Source organism: Homo sapiens, chromosome 17, assembly GCF_000001405.40.
Source record: "Homo sapiens chromosome 17, GRCh38.p14 Primary Assembly".
Taxonomy (NCBI): domain Eukaryota; kingdom Metazoa; phylum Chordata; class Mammalia; order Primates; family Hominidae; genus Homo; species Homo sapiens.
In genome coordinates, this window is record NC_000017.11 from 2,606,913 (window position 1) to 2,631,501 (window position 24,589).

Genomic DNA, 24,589 nt, shown 5'->3' on the forward strand with positions numbered 1-24,589 from the left:
CTCCCAGGTTCACACCATTCTCCTGCCTCAGCCTCCCTAGTAGCTGGGACTACAGGTGCCCGCCACCACGCCTGGCTAACTTTTTGTATTTTTAGTAGAGATGGGGTTTCACCATGTTAGCTAGGATGGTCTCGATTTCCTGACATTGTGATCCACCCGCCTCGGCCTCCTGCGGTGCTGGGATTACAGGCTTGAGCCACCACGCTTGGCCTAGAGCTTTTTTAAAGAAGGCATTATTACAGTTATAGTTGATATCTTTTTGTATTTTGTTTTTTATTTTGAGACAGAGTCTTGCTCTGTCACCAGAGTGGAGTGCAGTGGTGTAATATCCGCTCACTGCAACCTCGGCCTCCAGGGTTCAAGAGATTCCCCTCCCTCAGCCTCCTGAGTAGCTGGGACTACAGGCGTGCACCAGCGTGCCCGGCTGATTTTTTTTTGTATTTTAGTAGAGATGGGGTTTCACCATGTTGGCCAGGGTGGTCTCCATCTCCTGACCTCATGATCTGTCTGCCTGGGCCTCCCAAAGCGCTGGGATTACAGGTGTGAGCCACCACGCCTGGCCTTTTCTTTTCTTTTTCTTTTTTTTTTTTGAGATGGAGTCCCGCTCTATCACCCAGGCCAGAGTGCAGCAGCACCATCTCGGCTCACTGCAGCCTCCACCTCCCAGGTTCAAGCGATTGTCTGCCTCAGCCACCCGAGTAGTTGGGATCACAGGCATGTACCACCACACCTAGCTAATTTTTGTACTTTTAGTAGAGACAGGGTTTCACCATGTTGGGGCCAGGCTGGTCTCAAACTCTGGGCCTCAAGTGATCCACCTGCCTCAGCCTCCCAAAGTTCTGGGATTACAGGTGTGAATCACCGCACCCGGCTTGATGTCCCTTTTGTACTTCTTTCCAATTGTGTCCACCTTCCTCTTCTCAGTAGTAAAGTTTCTCCTAAATGTTGTATATAGCCCTTCGTTCCATATTTTTATGCATTTACTATATTTGGGTGTATCTATAAACAATATATAGTAGTGCTTTATAGATTGTTAGAATTTACGTGAATATTCTACTGTATATCTATATTAATCTACTTGGTTTTCTTTCCTGTTTTTTAGATGCATTATTGATATATGTAGATCTAGTTTATTTAGTTGTATAATTTCTTATATATGATACCATATTTTCTTTTTCTTTTTTTTTTGTGAGACAAAGTCTCACTCTGTTGTCCAAGCTGGAGTGCAATGGCACAATATCAGCTCACTGCAACCTCCACCTCCCAGGTTCAAGCGATTGTCCTCCCTCAGCCTCCTGAGTAGCTGGGACTACAGACACGCACCACCATGCTCGGCTAATTTTTGTATTTTTAGTAGAGATGGGGGTTGCACTATGTTGGCCAGGCTGGTCTCGAACTCCTGACCTCGTGATCCACTGGCCTCAGCCTCTCAAAGTGCTGGGATTACAGGCGTGAGCCATCACACCTGGCCCTTTTACCATATTTTCTTTATGTTTAGACTACAGAAATGGGCAATTAGGTTGTTTACAGCTTTTTACTATTACAGACAATGCTGCAGTGAACATAAGGAAGGTGTTTGCTAGTGAGATGATATGATGTGTTTACTTGGGCTGGGTGTGGTGGCTCACAACTGTAATCTCAACACTTTGGGAGGCCAAAGCAGGGGATTGCTTGAGGCCAGGAATTTGGCACCAGCCTGGGCAACATAGTGAGACCCTGTCTCTACAAAAAACAAATTAACCGGATGTGGTGGCATGTGCCTGTGGTCCCTAGAAGTTTGAGGTCGCTGTGAGCTGTGCTTGTGCCTCTGCACTCCAACCTGGACAACCGGGTGCGACCTCATCTCTAAAAATAAAAAATGATTTGTTTGTTTTTGCACTGCAGAATTCACCCTTAGGTTAATTAAATAAAATATTTGTTCTTTGGTAATATTTATGCTTCGAGCTGAATAAAGAGAATGGATAATATTATTGCATCAATTTTAGACCATAATTTCCTAAACTTCATTCTGTTTTCTTCCGTCTCTTCAACCATTCAAACATATTTATTCATTATCTAGCCAGGGGTTGAATACTGGCAGCCTTGTATTTCTCTTTGCATTGATGGTTAACATTTTTTTGAGCCAACATTTAAAAACTAGCTGTTTTACATAAAGTCTCTATTTTCTGGTTATCCTGAAAAATTAGGAGCTCTGTCAACAGGCAGCCCACATTTTCCCATGACAGCAGTTAACCTAAGCTGAATTACAGCTGCCTTCTTGAATTTTTTTTTCCCCCTGCTGGAGATGGGGTCTCACTCTGGTGCTGGGGCTGGTCTCAGACTCCTGGGCTCAAGTGATCCCCCTGCCTCGGCCTGCCAAAGTTGTGGGATTGCAGGGATGAGCCACCGCGCCCGGCTCCCGCTGCCTGCCTTTAGATGAGCATACGCTCTCCAGTGGAACAAGTTGCTGGTCCTCCTTGTTGGTGTTTATTATCGCCCTTGTATTGTTCATGGTGGACAGATACTTCTCTATTGATGATGTTTCTTTCAAAAATGAAAAAAAGTATAGCTTGACAGCTGTAGTTTTCAAGAAAAGTAGAAAAGAGCATATTTTTCTGGAAATGAAGATTTTTTTTTTTGAGACGGAGTCTCACTCTGTTGCCCAGGCTGGAGTGCAGTGGCGCTGTCTCGGCTCCTGCAACCTCTGCCTCCCAGGTTCAAGCGATTCTCCTGTCTCAGCCTCCCGAGTAGCTGGGATTAGAGGCGCCCGCCACCAGGCCCAGCTAATTTTTGTATTTTTAGTGGAGACGGGGTTTTACCATGTTGGCCAGGCTGGTCTCGAACTCCTGACCTCGTGATCCACCCGCCTAGGCCTCCCAAAGTGCTGGGATTACAGGCATGAGCCACCGCGCCCGGCTGAAACGAAGAATATTTTAATATATATATATTTTAAGACAGAGTCCTGCTCTGTCGCCCATGCTAGAGTGCAGTGGCACGATCTCGGCTCACTGTAGCCTTTGCCTCCTGGGTTCAAACAATTCTTGTGCCTCAGCCTCCCAAGTCGCTGGGATTACGGGCGTGTGCTACCATGCCCTGCTAATTTTTGTATTTTTAGTAGAGGCAGGGTTTCGCCATGTTGGCCATCTGGTCTTGAACTCCTGGCCTCAAATTATTTGCCCACCTCAGCTTCCCAAAGTGGTCAGATTACTGGCGTGAGCCACTGTGGCTGGCCAGTAATTTTGTTTTTAATTGAACTTTGAAAACGCAGTTCTATCATTGGTGTTCTATTTCTAGCCGACTCAGACTTTCACCTGGCAAGTTGGTCTCTGTATTTGATTTGTAACTCCTTATTTAAAGCAATTTATGAGGATGCATAAAACTACAAAATGCCTCAGATAAAAGTAAGGAGAAAGAAGAAACAAAAACAAAAGATAAAGATAAAGTCAAGTCAGGATGTAGGCCAAAAAGGTTTATTATAATTTTCTTCCTACAGGCAGAGCACAGATTTGACTCTGAGCTTTCTAGGAACCAGCAGGAGAGAAAAACTTGGTAGTTTATTTTTTTACAGTGTCCTTAAGATACAAAATAACTAGATAGTTCAGAAAGATAACTAACCACTTGGCACTATCAGGCTAGAGCAGAAGTGTCCAATATTTTGACTTCCCTGGGCCACATTGGAAGAAAAAGAATTGTCTTGGGCTACACATAAAATACACTAACGATAGTTGATGAGCTTAAAAAAAGTCACAAAAAAAATGTCAGTGTTTTAGGAAAGCTTACGAATTTGTGTTGGGCCACATTCAAAGCTGTCCTGGGCCGTGGGTAGCACAAGCTTGGGCTAGAGTTTCTCATGGGGCTCTCATAAAGAGGATTATGTTGTAATTATTATTATCCTCTTCAACATCTTTAAGGTAGATGGATGACAAGTATTTAAGTAGTCTTAGTGTGGGAGACCAATCACATCACATGAGTCAGTCTGAAAGAGTGGATAGATTTGTCTTTCAGTGTCTGATGAGTGGATGAGTTTCCCTCAACCCAGCTTTTTAACCTCCTTGGCAGGTACCTCCATACATCAAGTACAGACCATTCATATGTAGGATTTAAATTACCCTGTGAAAATCTAATTTTACCCAGAATAGAATTTGTGGGAGTGACTGTACATTAAAATTCTTGTTAGAAAATAATTTCAAATCTTCTTCATCCTTGTCTGTCTTCTTCTCTGTAATTTGAAGGTGGGTAGAGAATATTCTTCCAGAATATCCAAAAGTGGTAAAAACATTAAGAAATATAGAAAAGGGCCAGGCGCGGTGACTCATGCCTATAATCTCAGCACTTTGGGAGACTGAGGCAGGCGGATCATGAGGTCAGGAGTTCGAGACCAGCCTGACCAATATGGTGAAACCCTATCTCTACTAAAAATACAAAAATTAACCGAGCATGGTTGTGTGCGCCTGTAGTCCCAGCTACTCAGGAGGCTGAGGCAGGAGAATCGCTTGAACCTGGGAGGCAGAGGTTGCAGTGAACCGAGATCACGCCATTGCACTCCAGCCTGGGTGACAGAGCAAGACTCCGTCTCGGGGCAAAAAAAAAAAATAAAAAAAGAAAGAAATACAGAAAAGGGGTCCAGGACACAGCTGTGTTTTATATTGCTAGAATTTGCTTCAGCAGAAGACCCGTGAATCAGGACTCATGCTGGTTTTCAGCATAGATTAAATGTAAGGAGAGGTTTGGTTTTTGTTTGTTTTGAGTCGGAGTCTCGCTTACTTTTTCTTTTGAATTTTAAAAAAGAAGAGTGAGAGTACGTCTTTACTCTCTCAGAACACAGTAAGTTTTGATCTTAGTTTTTACTAGGATGCCTACAGTAGTTGTTTAGAAACACTAATTACCATGAGTTTGGTCGGGACACAATGAACAGTGTGTCAAGGGTTGAGGCAACATCAGGGCAGATAATTACAGTGTATTGTGAGAAGTGGTAAATACGTGTATGTATGAAGTACTATGAAGTCACAGAAGAGGTGGTTACTCTGTGTTCGCTTAATTGTTTGGGGTCAAAACTAGTGAGAATGGTAACTAAACCCGCAAGTTCTGCTGTTTATGCTAGCTGCTGAGAGGCTTGCTAATGATGTTTAAATATCATTGATAGCTATTAGGTTGAACCATTATTGGCAGTTTTTAATGGTTTAACCCTAGTAGTATCTTGGTGTGACGATTTAAAAGGTATTTTATTTTTTGCCAATACTGTTTGACGGTTGTTGAATAATTGATATTTTGTTAAAGCTTTGAATATTGAATAAATGTGCCATTTTGGGAAAATGGCACTTTTTTTTTTTTTTTTGAGACTGAGTCTCATCGCCCAGGCTGGAGTGCAGTGGCATGATCTCCACTCACTGCAACCTCCGCCTCGTGGGTTCGAGTGATTCTCCTGCCTCAGTCTCCCAAGTAGCTAGGACTACAGGCGCGCACCACCACGCCTGGCTAATTTTTTGTATTTTTTTTAGTAGAGACGAGGTTTTGCCATGTTGGCCAGGCTGGTCTCAAACTACCGACCTCAGGTGATCTGCCCGCCTCAGCCTCCCAAAGTGCTGGGATTAAAGGTGTGAGCCACCATGCCCGGCCGTATCTTCCCGACAATCTTGTGAAATAGATACTACTATTAAAAGTAGCTGTATCAGATAATTTCTAGATGTAAGAGGGTTCGCCAACTATAGCTAGCAAGTCAAATCCTGCTGTTTTTATTTTGAGAAGGGGACTCTGTCCCCCAAGCTGGAGTCCAGTGGCCTGAACACGGCTTCTCTGTAGCCTTGACTTCCTAGGCTCAAGCAATCCTCCTGCCCCAGCCTCCTACGTAGCTGGGATCACAAGATGCGCACCACTACGCCTGGCTGTTTTTGATTTTTTGTAGAGGTGGGGATCTCACTTTTTTGCCCAGGCTGGTCTCAGACTCCTGGGCTCAAGTGATCCTCCTGCCTCGGCCTCCACAAGTGCTGAGATTACTGGTGTGAGCCAGCATGCCCGGCCTGCCACCTGATTTTGTACCATAAGCCTAAAAATGTTTGTTGTTTGTTTTTTCAATTTTTAGTGGTCGAAAAATCAAAATAAAATGTTTTGTAAAATAATTTTATAAAATCCATTTGATAAATTAATAATTTGTAAAAAAAAAAAAAAAAAAGGTGAAATTCAAATTTTAGTGTCCATAAAGTTTTGTTGGAACAAAACCATATCTTTTTCTTTCTTTTTTTTTCACATTTTCCTTTAAAATTTTGTTTTTGTTTTTGTTTGCATCCAAAACTGAAAGAAAGAATGCAAGCTGTGGGAGGCAGGCCATTGCATCAAGTGGTGGCTCCTGGGAGTTTGTGTGGCCCCACCCCCCACCCACCCCTGGCCACTTCAGCACAGAGGCTGGGAAGGGTCTGGGGGCCCTGGAAGCAGAGCCAAGGTCCCATTTTCTTGCTTGGGCGAAGCTCAGCCGGCAGGGCCGTGGCCCCCTTCATAGGGGGAGGTGGCTGTCATGGGGGACAAGGGCTGCTGCTCTCCTGTGCTGAGTTCCCTCTCTGGGGCCCGCAGTGTTGGTGGCTGCAGCGGCAGAGCCATGGGGAAGCTGGCCATGTAGAAGATGTGGCCCAGGCGCCTGGCCACCTGGGCCTGGGTCTTGAGGGCAGGCCCCAGCTTCAACCCCGTGGTGGTCAGCGGGTGCTCCCCCGTCAGCAGTGGCAGGGTCTCCCCTTCGATCCCCTGCTCCCTGAAGACCTGAGTATACTCTCCACAGCCAGACAGCCGCCCCTCCGCGAAGCTGCAGACATCATCCATGGTCCACTTGCTGACGTCCTCAAGGGCTGGGGCCTCCTCCCCATCCACAGAGAGTCCCCCTGTGGCGCTGGGCCAGGTTCTGCTTCTGCAGGAGCTCCTGATGCCGGGCGAGCATCTCCACTCGGGCAGGGGCAGGAATCCGTAGCCTGGGATCTGGCACAGAGGTGAGGGCACTCCCAGAAAGGGGGGCCTGAAATGGGGGCCCAGGGTGATGTGAGGGGCATTCTGGGGCGACAGCAAGAGGGGGCGGCTGTGGCAGCTCCTTGTCAACAGTAGCGCAATGAGCGGCCTCTTTATATATTATATATTGTTTATATATTGGGTTTTTTTTTTTTTTTTTTTTTGAGACGTGGGTCTGGCTCTGTCGCCCAGGGTGGAGTGCAGTGATGTGATCACAGTTCACTGCTGCAGCCTCAACCTCCCAGGCTCAAGCTATCCTCCCACCTTAGCCTCCTGAGTAGCTGGGACCGCAGGTGTGTGCCACCATTCCTGGCTAATTTTTAAATTTGTGGTAGAATGAGGTCTTGCTGTTTTGCCCAGGCTGATCTCAAACTCCTGAGCTCAAGGGATCCTCATGCCTCAGCCTCCCAAAGTGCTGGATTAGTGAGCCGTGGCACTTACCTAGCCAGTATATTGTTTATTGTTGCTTTCTTACTGCAGTGGCAGAAGAGTTGCTACAGAATCTGAATGGCCCACAAAACCTAAAATACTTACTATCTTTGCAGAGTTTGCTGACCCCTGGTCTAGATACAAAGGGGAGAGAACATAAGATAGAAAGCAGCAAACTTAATATAGATGCAAAGAATGTGTCTGTATTACAACATCCCAGGAAGACTAGATAGTTATATAATGAACAAGGCAACTGTGTTTTCTTCTTGAAGGATTTTTAAAGACGACTTTTATAAAAGCTCTGTTGCCTAGGCGGGAGTGCAGTGGTGTCATCATGGCTCACCAAAGCCTTGAACTCCTGGGCTCAAGTGATCCTCCCACCTTAGCCTCCTGAGTAGCTAGGACTACAGGCACATGCCACCATGCATGGCTAGATTTTATAATTTTTTCTTTTCTTTTTTTTTAGAGATGAGTCTTGCTGCGTTGCCCAGGCCGGTGTTAAACTTCTGGCCTCAAGCAATCCTCCCACCTCAGCCTCCAAAGGGGCAAAGATTATAGTGCACCACCATTGCAGGCCAACATTAAAGTAAATTTAAAGGAAAAAAGTGACCCACAATCTTGAAAATCATACGAAAACAGTCAATGTTTGTCCTCACATTCCTTCCCACTATTTGTGGCATATGCAGTTGGCCGTCCATATCCATGGGTTTTGTACTGTGGATTCAACCAACTCCAGATTGAAACTATTCAGACAAAATGATAGTTGTGTCAGTACTGAACATGCAGTTTTCCTGTCATTATTCCCTGAACAATACAATATAACAACTATTTACATAGCTTTTATTTTTTTAGGTATTCTAAGTAATCTAGAGATGATTTAAAGTATATGAGAGTATATGTGTAGGTTATATGCAAATACTAAGCCATTTTATATAAGGGATTCGAGCATTGTTTTATTGGTATCCGGGGGGTCCTGGAATGACTGTACATGTGTATAATATACAACAACTGATATCAGATAGAAAGTACAAGGAAAAAGCGATTTATGACAAAATCTAAAGTCATAATTCAGTTTCTTTAGAACCTTTAGGTGTTCAAAATGGCTTCATTTCGAAGACAAAAGTAGGAAACTTTCTTTCTTTCTTTTTTTTGAGATGGAGTCTCACTGTGTCGCCCAGCCTGGAGTGCAGTGGCACAATCTTGGCTCACTGCAACCTCTGCCGCCCGGGTTCAAGCGATTCTCCTGCCTTAGCCTCCCGAGTAGCTGAGACTGCAGGGGCCTGCCACCGCGCCTGGCTAATTTTTCTATTTTTAGTAGAGACAGGGTTTCACCATCTTGGCCAGGCTGGTCTTGAACTCCTGACCTCATGATCCCCCTGCCTTGGCCTCCCAAAATGCTGGGATTACAGGCGTGAGCCACCGCGCCCAGCCTGAAACTTTCTCTTTTTAGAGGGGCAGTGAAGAAGTAGTCTTTGAGCACCCATCAACAAATGAACACATCTGGGATGAAGATTGTACCTAACATGTTTGATCAGTCTGGTGTGGCAATAAGGATGCACCCAGGAGGTGATAAGGAAATCCAGGAGGTGATAAGGTAGACAGACTGAGAAAGAAGACACAAGGAGAGAAAAGTAAAGAGAGGAAAGATGAGCATTAATGAGGGTGCTTACAAGCGGCAGAGGCAGTGAATACAAAAACTTAGTGGAAAGAAAGCAACGACGAAACAAGAATAGGATGAGTTCTCAGTTACCTACTTTATTCTTCAAATAGCCCTTATTCAGCACATCTTTCTTGTTTGTTGTAGAATGGAGAGCAGTTTATTACATTTGATAATCCTTGAAAGCATTAATTTGCTTGGAGGGTACCCAGGGAGTAGAGTTCAAGCAGTATGAAGAGTGAAGAATATTCATTCTGGTAGAGTTTAGTGACAGACTAAGCTTATATTAATAACGGTTCTATATTATAGAAGAATACTACTGCTGGAGTATGGCAGTATATTAGGTTTCTCCAGAGAAGCAAGGCCAATAGGGTGTGTGTGTGTAGAGATTGACTGGTTGATTGATGTTTGAGGAATTGGCTCATGCTATTGTGAAGGCTTGCAAGTTCAAAATCTGTAGGGTAGGCTGACAGGCCGGGGACCTGGGGAAGAGGTGATGTTGCATCTCAAGTCCAAACGCAGTCTTTTGGCAGAATTCTATCTTACTTGGGAAATCAGTCTTTTCTTTTTCTCTTAAGGTCTTCAACTGATAGAATAAGGCCCGCCCACATTATAAAGATAATTGACTTTACTCTGAGTCTGCTGACTTAAATGTTAATTGTATCTGAAGAAATATCTTCACAGCAACATCTAAACTATTGTTTGATCAAATATACTGGGCCTAGCCAAGTTGGAATGTAAAATTAACCATCACAAGACTGTAATAGAAACCATCTCATAATGTACATTTGGGACTTATGGTGAAAGGCAAAGGGCAGACCGGGTGCAGTGGCTCACGCCTGTAATCCCAGCACTTTGGGAGGCCGAGGCGAACAGATCACGAGGTCAAGAGATCGAGACCATCCTGGCTAACACGGTGAAACCCCGTCTCTACTAAAAATACCAAAAAAAAAAAAAAATTAGCCGGACCTGGTGGCGAGCGTCTGTAGTCCCAGCTACTCGGGAGGCTGAGGCAGGAGAATGGTGTGAACCCGGGAGGCAGAGGTTGCAGTGAGCCGAGATCGCACCACTGCACTCCAGCCTGGGCGACAGAACGAGACTCCGTCTCAAAAAAAAATGATTGCTCTTAATAAGAAAAAAACAGACATCCAGATATGACTTATATTGTGTTACTTAAATCTAAGTCTGATTGATTTCAAAGCCCCAAAACTATTTCTACTTTATTTCTTCAGATTTAAAGCTGTGGACCAACTATTTGCAGCACTTGCCTTTAATACTGGAGTTAGTAGATTTGAGGTCAGTAGGAATGCTTCTCAGTGAAAAAAGTGGTAGCTTAATCTTTGGCTCAAGGCTAATCGTAAAATAGGAAACATTTTCCTATGTAAATTTTGGATGGGTAACTTAAATCTTGCAAAATGAATGAAGTATAGTGGTTAGCTGTAACTAATAGAAAAGCGAGGAGATGGTGAAGCTGTAAAAGAATTTTACAACTTTTTCAGTGAACCATACCTGAGCACAGTCCATCCCTCAGTGATTTTACCATACTGATAAACCAACCTGATCTCTTTTTTTGTTTTTATTACCTGCTGACAGCAGATGCTAGTGAATCATAGATGGGCCTCCAAGCTGAAGCAGAATAAGAAGTAGACGTGTTAAAGTCTCAGTGTTTGAGGCCAGGCATGGTGGCTCACGCCTGTAATCCCAGCACTTTGGGAGGCTGAGGCAGGCAGATCACTTGAGGTGAGGAGTTTGAGACCAGCACAGACAACATGGTGAAACCCCCTGTCTCTACTAAAAATGCAGCATTTAGCCAGGTGTGGCGGTGGGTGTCTGTAATCCCAGCTACTCGGGAGGCTGAGGCAGGAGAATTGCTTGAACCTGGGAGGTGAAGGTTGTAGGGAGGGAGTGGAGATTGCGCCATTGCACTCCAGCCTGGGCAACAGAGCGAGACTCAGTCCCGCATCAAAAAACGTCTCGGTATTGGATTAAAAACTTGCATTTAGGCCGGGTGCGGTGGCTCACGCCTGTAATCCCAGCACTTTGGGAGGCCGAGGTGGGTGGATCACGAGGTCATGAGCTCGAGAGCAGCCTGCCCAACATGGTGAAATCTTGCCTCCACTAAAAATACAAAAAATTAGCTGGGCGTGGTGGTGGGCACCTGTAATCCCAGCTATTCGGGAAGCTGAGTCAGGAGAATCGCTTGAACCTGGGAGATGCGAGGTTGCAGTGAGCCGAGATTGCGCCACTACACTCCAGCCTGAGCGACAGAGCAAGACTCTGTCTCAAACAAACCAAACTTTCATTTATCATTTGTAATAGTGTGAATGGGAAAAGTCTAAATTCTCTCATATCTTCAGTTATTCATACAGAGCACACGATACTTCAAGAACATGAAGTTAATCTTTTGATAAATTTTGCCACCTTTTAATCAGAAAACAATTTTAAAACTCTAGAAATTTACCTCTCTGGGTAAGAAAGGAAATAAAAAGATTGATCTAAGGAAATGAAGTTACTCTTACGGAGTATTTTGTCCTTCTATGTAATCTCATGGATTTAGCTAAAGACTGGAGTCTTTTTCAGATACGTGATGCAATGATTTTATAGGAAAATTTACTTTTTTAAAAGAAATTATTTGACTGCATTATAGTATAGTGTTAATGATGGAGTTTTATTTATTTATGTTATTTTTTTATTTATTTTGAGACAGAGTTTCGCTCTTGTTGCCCAGGCTGGAGTGCAGTGGCGTGATCTCGGCTCACTGCATCCTCCACCTCCTGGGTTCAAGTGATTCTCCTGCTTGGGCCTCACGAGTAGCTGGGATTACAGGTACTCGCTCACTTGGGAGGCCGAGGTAGGAGAATCACTTGAACCCGGGAGGTGGAGGTTGCAGTGAGGCAGGAGAATCACTTGAACCCAGGAGGTGGAGACTGCAGTGAGCCGAGATTGTACCATTGCACTCTAGGCTGGGCAATGGAGTGAGACTCCGTCTCAAAAAAAAAAAAAAAAAAAAAAATTCAGAGCAACAGTCATATAACACTCCCACAAGAGATAATTCTTCACGATGTTAAACGAGAACTGTCAAAAGTAAGCCAATTTCAGGGACTTTTATAAGAAAGCATGTCTCAAGTTCATTGTTTTAGCTGGGGTTTTTTGTTTGCTTGTTTTGTTTTTTGTTATTTTGTTATTTTTCTTTATTTATTTTTGAGACAGGGTCTCACTGTGTCTCCTAGGCTTTCGTGTAGCGGCGTAATCACCGCAGCTCACTGTAGACTCCAACTCCTGGGCTTAGGTGATCCTCCCACTTCAGCCTCTGGGTAGCTGGGACCTAAGTATGTACCAACCACCACACCCGGCTAATTAAAAAAAATTATTTTGTAGAGATGGGGTTTCACTAGCTGGGACTACAAGCATGTGCCACCATGCCTGGCTAATTAAAAAAAATTTTTTTGGTAGAGACTGGGTTTCACTGTGTTGCCCAGGCTGGTCTTGAACTCTTTAGCTCAGTCTGCCCACCTCACCCTCCCAAAGTGCTGGGTTTACAGGTGTGAGCCACTGTGCCTGGCCCTTACCTGTTTTTTTTTTGTTTTTTTTCCTCTCAGGAGATGTTCCTGAATTACCTGGGGTCTTGACTTAAAGTTCAGAACTAATTGTAATAGGTAACATATGGTACTTCTTAGTTTATAAAATTTGTTTACATTAATATCCTGCCTATTCCTCACTGAATCTTTTAAGGTGAATTTCACATTTAAGTCTATTATACAATTGAGGAAACTCAGGCTTAATGAGGAAACTGGGGTTTAGGGAGACTTTGTGAACATCAAACTTTTCTTTTAATGGCAGAGTCTCCCTCTTTCACCCATGCTGGAGTACCGTGGTTTGATCGTAGCTCACTGTAACCTCAAATTCCTGGGCCCAGATATTCTCCTGCTTCAGTCTCCTATGTAGCTAGGACCACAGGCATGCACCACTATGCTTGGCTAATTATTATTTTTTTATTATTATTCTTTGTGGAGATGTGGTCTTGCTGTGTTGCCCAGCCTGGTTTTGAACTCCTGGATTGAAGCAATCCTCTGGCCCTGGCCTCTTTGTAATATGCCCCCACAAATATGCCCCAGCCCCATATTTTCATAAATGCTACTTGATAAATTCTACCTGATTTTTAGTATATTCAGAAGAAAGTGCGTAATCTCTTATTTTGATTAAATTTTGTTCCTTGTAGCTTAGAACTTTAGGTGAGATTCCCCAAGCATTTGGTGAGTTGATTGTCTAAGCCTAAAGTAAGGTAATGTTGCTTTATGCTGCATTCAGAACATTCTTGTAACTGTAACATTCACCTTAGAATGGAAATGTACAGATTGTTTATAAACATCAGATTCCTATCTAATTCTCTTTACTTTTTGTGACTTTGTTGTAACTTAACTCAGTATCTTATAATATTTTGGTTTGATTCTTTTTTGATTATCTAAAAAATAGATTATTAGGTAGGAACATTAAGACTTAAAAGTGAATAAACAAGTTTTATGTCTCTTTTCTGTTGGATGCTGGTTGTCTGTGCTGTTTAAGTTTTTGTCTGGTTTTAAAAAGCTTGTAGAACCAGCATAACTAAGAAAGTAGCGTGGCCGGGCGCCGTTGCTCATGCCTGTAATCCCAGCACTTTGGGAGGCCGAGGTCGGTAGATCACAAGGTCAAGAGATTGATACCATCCTGGCCAACATGGTAAAACCCCGTCTCTACTAAAAATACAAAAATTAGCTGGGTATGGTGGCGCGTACCTGTAATCCTAGCTACTCGGGAGGCTGAGGTAGGAGAATCACTTGAACCTGGGAGGCAGAGGTTGCGGTGAGCCGAGATCACACCATTGCACTCCAGCCTGGGTGACAAGAGCAAAACTCTGTCTCAAAAAAAAAGTTGCTTTTACTTTTCTAACTGAAATTCAGATTTTAATTCACTAAATTGTAGGCAAAACATCTTTAATTCTTTACCAGCTTTTTTAAAAAATAGATTTTTTCCTTTAATAGATTGTGTACAAAACTAAAGATAATTGAATAAAATGGCAAAAATTGTTGAAAACAAGAGTATATCTGTGATATGAATAGTCATACATATTAATAAAAATCTTCTGTCTCATAAATGAATTTGAAAAAATGCTGTTATTTTGAAACTACCTTTTTTTTTTAAGTTGAGGTGTATATGTGCAGGTTTGTTACATAGGTTAAGCCTAGTACCCATTCGTTATTTTTGCTGATTCTCTCCCTCCTACCATCCTTCACCCTCCGAAAGGCCCCAGTGTGTGTGGTTTCCCTCTATGTGTCCACATGTTCTCATCATTTAGCTCCCGCTTGTAAGTGAGAACATGCGCTATTTGGCTTTGCAATCCTGTGTTAGTTTGTTAAGGATAATGGCCTCCAGTTCCATCCATGTGGAATTACTATTCTAAACATCTGGTAACTTGCAAGGTGTCATGGAACCCAGCTTATCAGGAAACATTGCTTAACAGATTCTTGAAAGCAACTGGCCTGAAAAGATACTTAGTTCTTGACTGAGAATAACTTCTGCCTTGCTTCATTGCTGCATCTGGAAAATATTTGGATTAAGAGCCATAATATATAATACGTGCTATTCAAGCATGGTAGATAATCTGTCTTTTTTTTTTTTTTTTTTTTTTTTTTTTTTTTTTTTGAGACAGGGTCACCCTCTGTTGCCCAGGCTGGAGTGCAGTGGCGTCATCTCAGCTCACTGCAACCTCTGCATCCCAGGTGTTGCCCTCCCACCTCAGCCTTCTGAGTAGCTGAGACTACAGGCGTGCGCCACTATGTCCAGCTGATTTTTGTATTTTTTAGTAGAGATGGGGTGTATGTATTCGTTCGTTTTCACGTTGCTGATAAAGGCATAACCGAAACTGGGAACAAAAAGAGGTTTAATTGGACTTACAGTTCCACATGGCTGGGGAGGCTTCAGAATCATGGCAGGAGGCGAAAGGCACCTATTACATTGTGGTGGCAAGAGAAAAATGAGGAAGAAGCAAAACCAGAAACAAGATAATCCCATCCGATCTCGTGAGACTTATTCACTATCACGAGAATAGCATGGGAAAGACCAGCCTCCATGATTCAGTTACCTCCCCCTGGGTCTCTCCTGCAACACGTGGGAATTCTGAGAGCTACAGTGCAAGTTGAGATTTGGGTGAGGACACAGCCAAACCATATCATTCCACCCCTGGTCCCTCCATATCTCATGTCCTCCCTTTCAAAACCAATCTTGCCTTCCCAGCAGTCCTGCAAAGTCTTAACTCATTTCAGCATTAACCCAAAAGTCCACAGTCCAAAGTCTTATTTGAGACAAGGCAAGTCCCTTCTGCCTATGAGCCTGTAAAATGAAAAGCAAACTAGTTACTTCCTAGATACAATGGGGGTATAGGTATTGGGTAAATGCAGCCATTCCAAATGGGAGAAATTGGCTAAAACAAAGGGGTTACAGGGCCCATGCAAGTCCAGAATCCAGCGGGACAGTCAAATTTTAAAGCTCCAAAATAATCTCCTTTGACTCCAGGTCTCAGATCCAGGTCACGCTGATGCAAGAGGTGGGTTCCCATGGTCTTGGGCAGCTCTGCTCCTGCGGCTTTGCAGGGTACGGCCTCCCTCCTGTCTGCTTTCACCGGCTGGCCTTGAGTGTCTGCAGCTTTTCCAGGCGACAGTGCAAGCTGTCGGTGGATCTACCATTCTGGGGTCTGGAAGACAGTGGCCCTCTTCTCACAGCTGGGACTCACAGTAGGGACTCGTATGGGGGGCTCTGACCCCACATTTCCCTTCAGCACTGCCTTAGCAGAGGTTCTCCATGAGGGCCCTGTCCCTGCAGCAAACTTTTGCCTGGGCATCTGGACGTTTCCATACATCTTCTGAAATCAAGTTGGAGGTTCCCAAACCTCAATTCTTGACTTCTGTGAACCCACTTGCTCAACACCACGTGGAAGCTGCCAAGGCTTGGGGCTTCCACCCTCTGAAGCCACAGCCTGAGCTGTACGTCAGCCCCTTTCAGCCACAGCTGGAGTGGCTGGGACACAGGGTACCAAGTCCCTAGGCTGCACACAGCATGGGGACCCTGGGCCCAGCTCATGAAACCACTTTTTTCTCCTGGGCCTCCAGGCCTGTGATGGGAGGGGCTGCTGCCAGGAAGTTCTCTGACATGGACTGGAGACATTTTCTCCATAGTCTTGGGGATTAACATTAGGCTCCTTGCTTCTTATGCAGATTTCTGCAGCCAGCTTGAATTTCTCCCCAGAAAATGGGTTTTTCCTTTCTTTTTTTTTTTTTTTTTTTTTTCCCTGAGAGGGAGTCTCACTCTGTCGCCCGGGCTGGAGTGCAGTGGCATGATCTTGGCTCCGCCTCCTGGATTCATGCCATTCTCTTGACTCAGCCTCCCGAGTAGCTGGGACTACAGGTGACCACCACCACACCCGGCTAATTTTTTGTATTTTTAGTAGAGACAGGGTTTCAGCATGTTAGCCAGGATGGTCTCAATCTCCTGACCTTGTGATCTACCCGCCTTGGCCTCCCAAAGTCCTGGGATTACAGGCGTGAGCCACTGCGTCTGGCCAAAAAATGTTGTTTTTTTTTCTATCATATAGTCAGGCTGCAAATTTTCTAAACTTTCATGCTCTACTTCCCCGTTTTTTTTTTTTTTAAAGATGGAGTCTTGCTCTGTCGCCCAGGCTGGACTGCAGTGGTGCGATCTCTGCTCACTGAAACCTCCACCTCCTGGGTTGAAGTGATTCTCCTGCCTCAGCCTCCAGGTAGCTGGGATCCCAGCCACAGTAGCTGGGATTAGCCACCACTCCTGGCTAATTTTTGTGTTTTTAGTAGAGATGGGGTTTCACCATGTTGGCCAGGCTGGTCTCGAAACTGCTGACTTCAGAGGATCCGCCCACCTTGGCGTCCCAAAATGCTAGGATTACAGGCGTGAGCCACTGCCCCTGGTTGCTCTGCTTCCCTTTGAAAACGAAATACTTTTCAAACACCCAGGTCACCTTTTGGATGCTTTACTGCTTAGAAATTTCTTTTGCCAGATACCCTAAATCATCTTTCTCAAGTTCAAAGTTCCACAAATCTCTAGGGCAGGGGCAAAATGCTGCCAGTCTCTTTGCTAAAACATAATAAGAGTCACCTTTGCTCCAGTTCCCAACGAACTCCTCATTTCCATCTGAGACCACCTCAGCCTGGACCTTATTGTTCATATCACCATCAGCATTTTTGTAAAAGTCATTCAACAAGTCTCTAGGAGATTCTAAACTTTCCCAGGTTTTCCTGTCTTCTGAGCCCTCCAAACTGTTCCAAACTCTGCCTGTTACCCACTTCCAAAGTCACTTCCTCATTTCCGGGTATCTTTTCAGCAATTCCGCGTTCTACTGTTACCAGTTTACTGTATTAGTTCGTTTTCTTGCTGCTGATACAGACATACCCGAAACTGGGAACAAGAAAAGGTTTAATTGGACTTGTAGTTCCACATGGCTGGGGAGGCCTCAGAATCATGATAGGAAGTGAAAGGCACTTCTTACATGTCAGGGGCAAGAGAAAAATGAGGAAGAAGCAAAAATGGAAACCCCTGATAAACCTGTCAGATCTTGTGAGACTTACTATCGCAACAATAGCACAGGAAAGACTGGCCCCGTGATTCAGTTACCTCCCGCTGGGTCCCTTCCGTAACACATGGGAATTCTGGGAGATACAAGTCAAGTTGAGATTTCTGTGGGGACGCAGCCAAACCATATCACCTGGTTTCTCTGTGTTGCCCAGGCTAGTCTTGAACTCCTGGGCTCAAGCGATCTGCATGCCTCGGTCCATCAAAATATTGGAATTACAGGCTTGAGCCACTGTGCCCGGCCTCTGCTGACCTTTTAAATAAAGCTTTGGCAAGTGACAGTTTGAGGTTAGGAACCATTGATAATTGATGAATTACCGGATAAGTCTTTATTTCTTCCTTCTACATCTGATAATAAATCCGATGATTTCCATTTTCATGTCATTGCGCCTCTACTGTTAACATATAATTATTTATACTTTCTATTTTTTTTTTTTTAACTCTTCCACTTTCTCTTTTTGTGGTGGGGTACTTACCCTAGCAATAAACACATTGTTGTCTTAGATGCTGCATTGGATAGCAGATACGTGGATATAGTATTAGACTAGAGAATGCTTAAGAATTCTGCATTCCAAAAGCATACTAAAGCCTCTGTTTCTAGTGCTTAAGCAACAGTGTCCTTGATATCAGTCTAAGAAAGTCTGGATATTGACATGCAAATGAAAAAATCAGACTCTTTGAATTTTGTTTGTCATATATGCAAGTAGCTTAAAAGAATATTGGAATACTGCCAAAATACATTTCAAAAATATTAAATCTTCTTATTCGTTATTTTGACTTTGGAAAGATTTGTGAACCCCCTTAAAATACATGCAATATTTTGTTTATTTTCATATGTGCTTCTTTGAGAGGAAAGATCTTAGCTTTCATTATATTCTCAAAGGAGTCCAGTAACCTCAAAAAAGGTTAAGAACTTCTATACCAGGTAGTATGAAAATATTGCCTGATTTATTTGTACTGTTGGTTAATGTAGATTGTTCGTTGCAAAATATTCTAAACTCTTTCTTTAAAAAATGTTTACTCCATTTAAGAACCATTTATTAGAGGCTGGGCATGGAGGCTCTTTCCTGTAATCTCAGCACTTTGGGTGGCCGAGGTGACAGAATCGCTTGAGCCCAGGAATTAAAGACCAGCCTAGGCAACATAGCGGGACCCCGTCTCTAGCGGAGGTTGGGGGTAAAAAGAAAAAATTAGCTAGGCATGGTGGCATGCATCTGTTGTCCCAGCTACTCAGGAGGCTAAGGTAGGAGGATCTCTTGAGCCTAGGAGTTAGAGGCTGCAGTGAGCTATGATCGATCATGCCATTGCTCTCTAGCCTGAGTGACAGAGTGAGGACCCTGTCTCAAGAAAAACAGAAAAACGTTAATAAAAGCCAGGCGTGGTGGCTCATGCCTGTAATTCCAGCACTTTGGGAGGCCAAGGCAGGTGGATCACTTGAGGTCAGGAGTTGGGAACCAGCCTGACCAACATGGTGAAACCCTGTCTCTACTAAAAATACAAAAAAATTTAGCTAGGCATAGTGGTATGCACCTGTAATACCAGCTACTCGGGAGGCTGAGGCAAAACAATCGCTTGAACCCAGGAGGCAGAGGTTGCAGTAAGCCGAGATCACGCCACTGCACTCCAGCCTGGGCGACAGTGAGACTCCGTCTCAAAAAAAAAAAAAATTATTTCTGTTTTCATGTGGTATTTTGCGATTATGTGTTAACCATTAAAAGGCAACTGGAAAGGTAAAATTGTATTCTTAAAATAAGTATGATAACTCAATCATATACTTGTGCTTTCTGATAGCAAAAATACATGTTAAAGGTTGGAAAGGTTAAAGTTAGAAAATTCACAGGCTGAAATAATCTGAGTTAAAGGGTGCCTTAGATGTTAGCTACTATGTAGAAAATTTAGATTAATTACTCAGGTTATAGAGTTGATGACAAACTTGAACCGGCATCACCTTTCTTCCCCCCCCCCCCCCCCCCGAGGCGGAGTCTTGTTCTGTCGCCCAGAGCTGGAGTGCAGTGGCGCGATCTTGGCTCACTGCAACCTCTGACTCCCTGGTTCAAGCAATTCAACTGCCTCAGCCTCCCAAGTAGCTGGGATTACATGCGCGTGCCACCAAGCCCGGCTAATTTTTGTATTTTTAGTAGAGATAGGGTTTCACCATATTGGCCAGGCTGGTCTTGAAGTCCAGATCTTGTGATCTGCCCGCATCGACCTCCCAGAGTGCTGGGATTACAGTCGTGAGCCACCCCGCCTGGGTGCAATTTTTTATATGTTTGTTGGCCATTTGTATATCTTCTTTTGAGAATTGTCTCTTCATGTCCTTAGCCAACTTTTTGATGGGATTGTTTGTTTTTTCTTACTGACTTGTTTGAGTTCATTGTAGATTCTGGATATCAGTCCTTTGTCAGATGTATAGATTGTGAAGATTTTCTCCCACCCTGTGGGTTGTCTGTTTACTCTGCTGATTGTTCCTTTTGCCATCCAAAAGCTCTTCAGTTTAATTAGGTCCCAGCTATTTATCTTTGTTTTTATTGCATTTGCTTTTGGGTTCTTGGTCATGAGATCCTTGCCTAAGCCAATGTCTAGAAGGGTTTTTCCAGTGTTACCTTCTAGAATTTTTAGTTTCAGGTCTTAGGTTTAAGTCCTTAATTCATCCTGAGTTGATTTTTGTATAAGGTGAGAGATGAGGATCCAGTTTCATTTTCCTGTATGTGGCTAGCCAGTTATCTCAGCACTATTTATTGAAAAGGGTGTCCTTTCCCTACTTTATGTGTTTGTTTGCTTTGTTGAAGATCAGTTGGCTGTAAGTATTTGGGTTTATTTCTGGGTTCTCCATTCTGTTCCATTGGTCTATGTGCCTATTTTTTACCAGTGCCACGCTGTTTTGGTGACTATGGCCTTATAGTATAGTTTGAAAGCAGATAGTGTGATGCCTCCAGATTTGTTCTTTTTGCTTAGTCTTACTTTGGCTATGCAGTCTCTTTTTTGGTTCCACATAAATTTTAGAATCATTTTTTGTAATTCTATGAAGAATGATGGTATTTTGATGGGGATTGTGTTGAATTTGTAGATTGCTTTTGGCAGTATGGTCATTTTCACAATATTCTACCCATCCATGAGCATGGGATGTGTTTCCATTTGTTTGTGTCATCTCTGATTTCTTTTGGCAACATTTTATAGTTTTCCTTGTAGATGTCTTTCAACTCCTTGGTTAGGTATATTCCTAAGTATTTTATTTGTGGCTATTGTAAAAGGGGTTGAGTTCTTGATTTGATCCTCTGCTTAGTTGCTCTTGGTGTATAGAAGAGCTACTGATTTGTGTACATTAATCTTGAATCCAGAAACTTTGCCGAATTCTTTTATCAGTTCTAGGAGCTATCTGAGGAGTCTTTAGGGTTTTCAAGGTAAACGATCATATCGTCAGCAAACAGTGACAGTTTGACTTCCTCTTTACTGACTTGGATGCCCTTTATTTCTTTCTCTTGTCTGATTGCTCTGGCTAGGACTTCCAGTACTATGTTGAAGAGGAGCGGTGAGAGTGGGCATCCTTGTCTTGTTCGAGTTCTCAGAGGGAATGCTTTCAACTTTTCCCCTTTCATTATTATGTTGGCTGTGGGTTTGTCATAGTTGGCTTTTATTATGTTATTTCCCTTGTATGCTGATTTTGCAGAGAGTTTTAATTATAAAGGGATTCTGGATTTTGTTGAACGCTTTTTCTACATCTATTGAGATGATCATGTGGTTTTTGTTTTTAATTCTGTATGTATTGTATCACATTTATTGACCTGCATATATTAAACCATCCCTGCATCCCTAATATGAAACCTACTTGATCATGGTGGATCAACACATCTTTTTGATATGTTGTTGGATTTGGTTAGCTAGTATTTTTTTAAGGATTTTAGCATCTATGTTCATTAAGGATATTGGTCTGTAGTTTTCTTTTTTTGGTTGTTTGGTTGTAGTTTCCTTTCCTGGTTTTGGTATTAGGGTGATGCTGGCTTCATAAAATGAATTAGGGAGGGCTCCTTCTTTCTCTGTCTTGTGGAATATTATCAAAAGAATTGGTACCAACTCTTCTTTGAATGTCTGATAGAATTCTGCTGTGAATCCGTCTGGTCCTGGACCTTTTTTTGTTGGTAATTTCTTAATTACCGTTTCAGTGTCACTGCTTGTTATTGGTCTGTTCAGCGTATCTAATTCTTCCTGATTTATGTGAGGAGGGTTGTGTTTTTCCAAGAATTTATCCATCTCTTTTAGGTTTTCTCATTTATGTGTGTAAAGGTGCTCACAGTAGCCTTGAATGATCTTTTGTATTTCTGTGGTGTCAGTTGTAATATCTCCTGTTTCATTTCTTAGTGAGGTTATTTGGATTTTCTCTCTGCTTTCCTTGGTTAATCTTGCTAATGGTCTATCAATTTTGTTTTATCTTTTCAAAGAACCAGCTTGTTTCATTTATCTTTTGTACTGTGTTTTTTTGTTTGTTTGTTTCAATTTCATTTAGTTCTGCTCTGATCTTGGTTATTTATTTTCTTCTGCTGGGTTTGGGTTTGGTTTGTTCCTCTTTCTCTAGTTCCTTGAGGTGTGACCTTAGATTGTCTGTGCTCTTTCAGACTTTTTGATGTAGGCGTTTAGGGCTATGAACTTTCCTCTTAGCACTGCGTTTGCTGTATCCCAGAGGTTTTGATAGGGTGTGTCATTATTGTCATTCAGTTCAAAGAATTTTTTAATTTCCATCTTGATTTCATTTTTGACCCAGTGCTCATTCAGGAACAGGTTATTTAATTTCCATGTATTTGCATGGTTTTGAAGGTTCATTTTGGAGTTTATTTTCAGTTTTATTCCATCGTGGTCTGAGAGAGTGCTTGATATAATTTCAATTTTCTTAAATTTATTGATGCTCGTTTTGTGGTCTGCTTTGGAGAAAGTTCCATGGGCTGTTGAATAGAATGTGTATTCTGTGGTTATTGGATGAGATGTTCTGTGTATATCTGTTAAGTCCATTTGTTCCAGGGTATAGTTTAAATCCGTTGTTCCTTTGTTGACTTTCTGTCTTGATGACCTGTCTAGTGCTGTCAGTGGAGTATTGAAGTCCCCCACTATTATTGTGTTGCTGTCTGTCTCATTTCTTAGGTCTATTAGTAATTGTTTTATAAATTTGGGCACTCCAGTGTTAGATGCATATATGTTTAGGATTGTGGTATTTTCCTGTTGGACAAGGCCTTTTACTATTATATAACGTCCCTCTTTTTCTCTTTTAACCGCTGTTGCTTTAAAATTTGTTTTGTCTGATATGAGAATAGCTGCCCCTGCTTGCTTTTGGTGTCCATTTGCATGAAATGCCCTTTTCCACCCCTTTACTTTAAATTTATGTGAGTCCTTATGCTTTAGGTGAGTCTCCTGAACAGGAGGCTGCAGATGGTTGGTGAGTTCTTACTCAGTCTGCAGTTCTGCATCTTTTAAGTGGAGTATTTAGTCCATTTCCATTCAATGTTAGTATTGAAATGTGAGGTACCGCGGCATTCATCATGCTCTTTGTTGCCTGTGTACTTTGGGTTTTTTTGTTTTTTGCTTTTGCTTTTTAACTTGAATTTTTGTTTTGTAGGTCCTATGTGATTTATGCTTTAAAGAGGTTCTGTTTTGATGTGTTTCAAGGATTTGTTTCAAGATTTAGAGCTCCGTTTAGCAGTTCTTGTAATGGTGGCTTGGTAATGGTGAATTCTCTCAGCATTTGTTTGTCTGAAAATGACTGTAGCTTTCCTTCATACACGATGCTTGGTTTCACTGGATATAAAATTCTTGGCTGATAATTGTTTTGTTTGAGGAGGCCGAAGATAAGGCCCTAATCCCTTCTAGCTTGTAGGGTTTTTGCTGAGAAATCTGCTGTTAAACTGATAGGTTTTCCTTTATAGGTTACCTGGTGCTTCTGTCTCACAGCTCTTAAGATTCTTTCCTTTGTCTTAACTTTGGATAACCTGATGACAGTGTGCCTAGTGAAGATCTTTTTGCAGTGACTTTCCCAGGTGTTCTTTGTGCTTCTTGTATTTGAATGTCTAGGTCTCTAGCAGGGCCGGGGGAGTTTCCTCAGTTATTCTCCCAAATATGTTTTCCACGCTTTTAGAGTTCTCTTCTTCCTCAGGAACACTGATTATTCTTAGGTTTGGTCGTTTAAGATAATCCCAGACGTCTTGGAAGCTTTGTTCATATTTTCTTATTCTTTTTTCTTTGTCTTTGTTGGGTTGGGTTACTGTCTTCAAGCTGGTAATTGAAAATAGACATGATTTAAATATCTAGCCATAAAAGATTGTTAAAAATAGTACATCCACATGATCAAATATCATTCAGTCATTAAAAATTATGACAAGGCTGGGCGCGGTGGCCCACGCCTGCAATCCCAGCACTTTGGGAGGCTGAGGTGGTGGATCACCTGAGGTCATGAGTTTGAGACCAGCCTGACCAACATGGTGAAACCTTGTCTCTACTAAAAATACAAAAATTAGCCAGGCGTGGTGGCGTGTGCTTGTAATCCCAGCTACTCAGGAGGCTGAGGCAGGGGAATCACTAGAACCCGGGAGGCAGAGGCTGCAGTGAGCCAAGGTTGGACCACTGCACTTCAGCCTGGGCGACAGAGCAAGATGCTCTGTCTCAAAAAAAAAAAGAAAGAAAAAGAAAGAAAGGAAACTTGGCCCAGGCTATCTGCCTCCCAGCGGTGAAAGAAAAGGGCTTTAGTTCTTCCGTAGTCTGTGAAGTCTGCATGCCGGATTCGCACCCTCCCCTGAGTTCTGGCCAGGAGGCTTCCCACCCCATTCAGATGGTTACAAAATTTGGCTAGAGAATTCCTTCTCCCTGTGGGGTTTTACCCCCTCCTTCTCTGTCCACCCTCCCTGTGGTGCCAGGCAAGAATGG

The 24,589-nt window shown here is 42.9% G+C and overlaps 1 protein-coding gene and 1 pseudogene across 7 annotated transcripts in view; one reads left to right on the forward strand and one right to left on the reverse strand.

Annotated features, from left to right (window-relative positions):
* PAFAH1B1 (platelet activating factor acetylhydrolase 1b regulatory subunit 1) overlaps positions 1-24,589 on the forward strand; it is a 92,433-nt gene that overhangs the window by 13,730 nt on the left and 54,114 nt on the right. For 2 of the 7 annotated variants that reach the window (XM_047436163.1, XM_047436164.1), the window contains exon 1: positions 6,745-6,950. The exons of 3 other annotated variants lie outside the window; for them this stretch is intronic. Coding sequence is in view for 1 of the 4 variants with exons in the window: in XM_017024703.1 (XP_016880192.1) it covers positions 6,280-6,950; positions 10,285-10,372 (759 nt within the window). In the remaining 3 variants the exon portion in view is untranslated. Of the gene's footprint in view, positions 1-6,199; positions 6,951-10,284; positions 10,793-24,589 lie in introns of those variants that run through there. 2 more of the 7 variants (XM_017024703.1, XM_011523902.4) reach the window with 2 other exon arrangements.
* Positions 6,370-7,057, reverse strand: SAMD11P1 (sterile alpha motif domain containing 11 pseudogene 1; annotated as a pseudogene).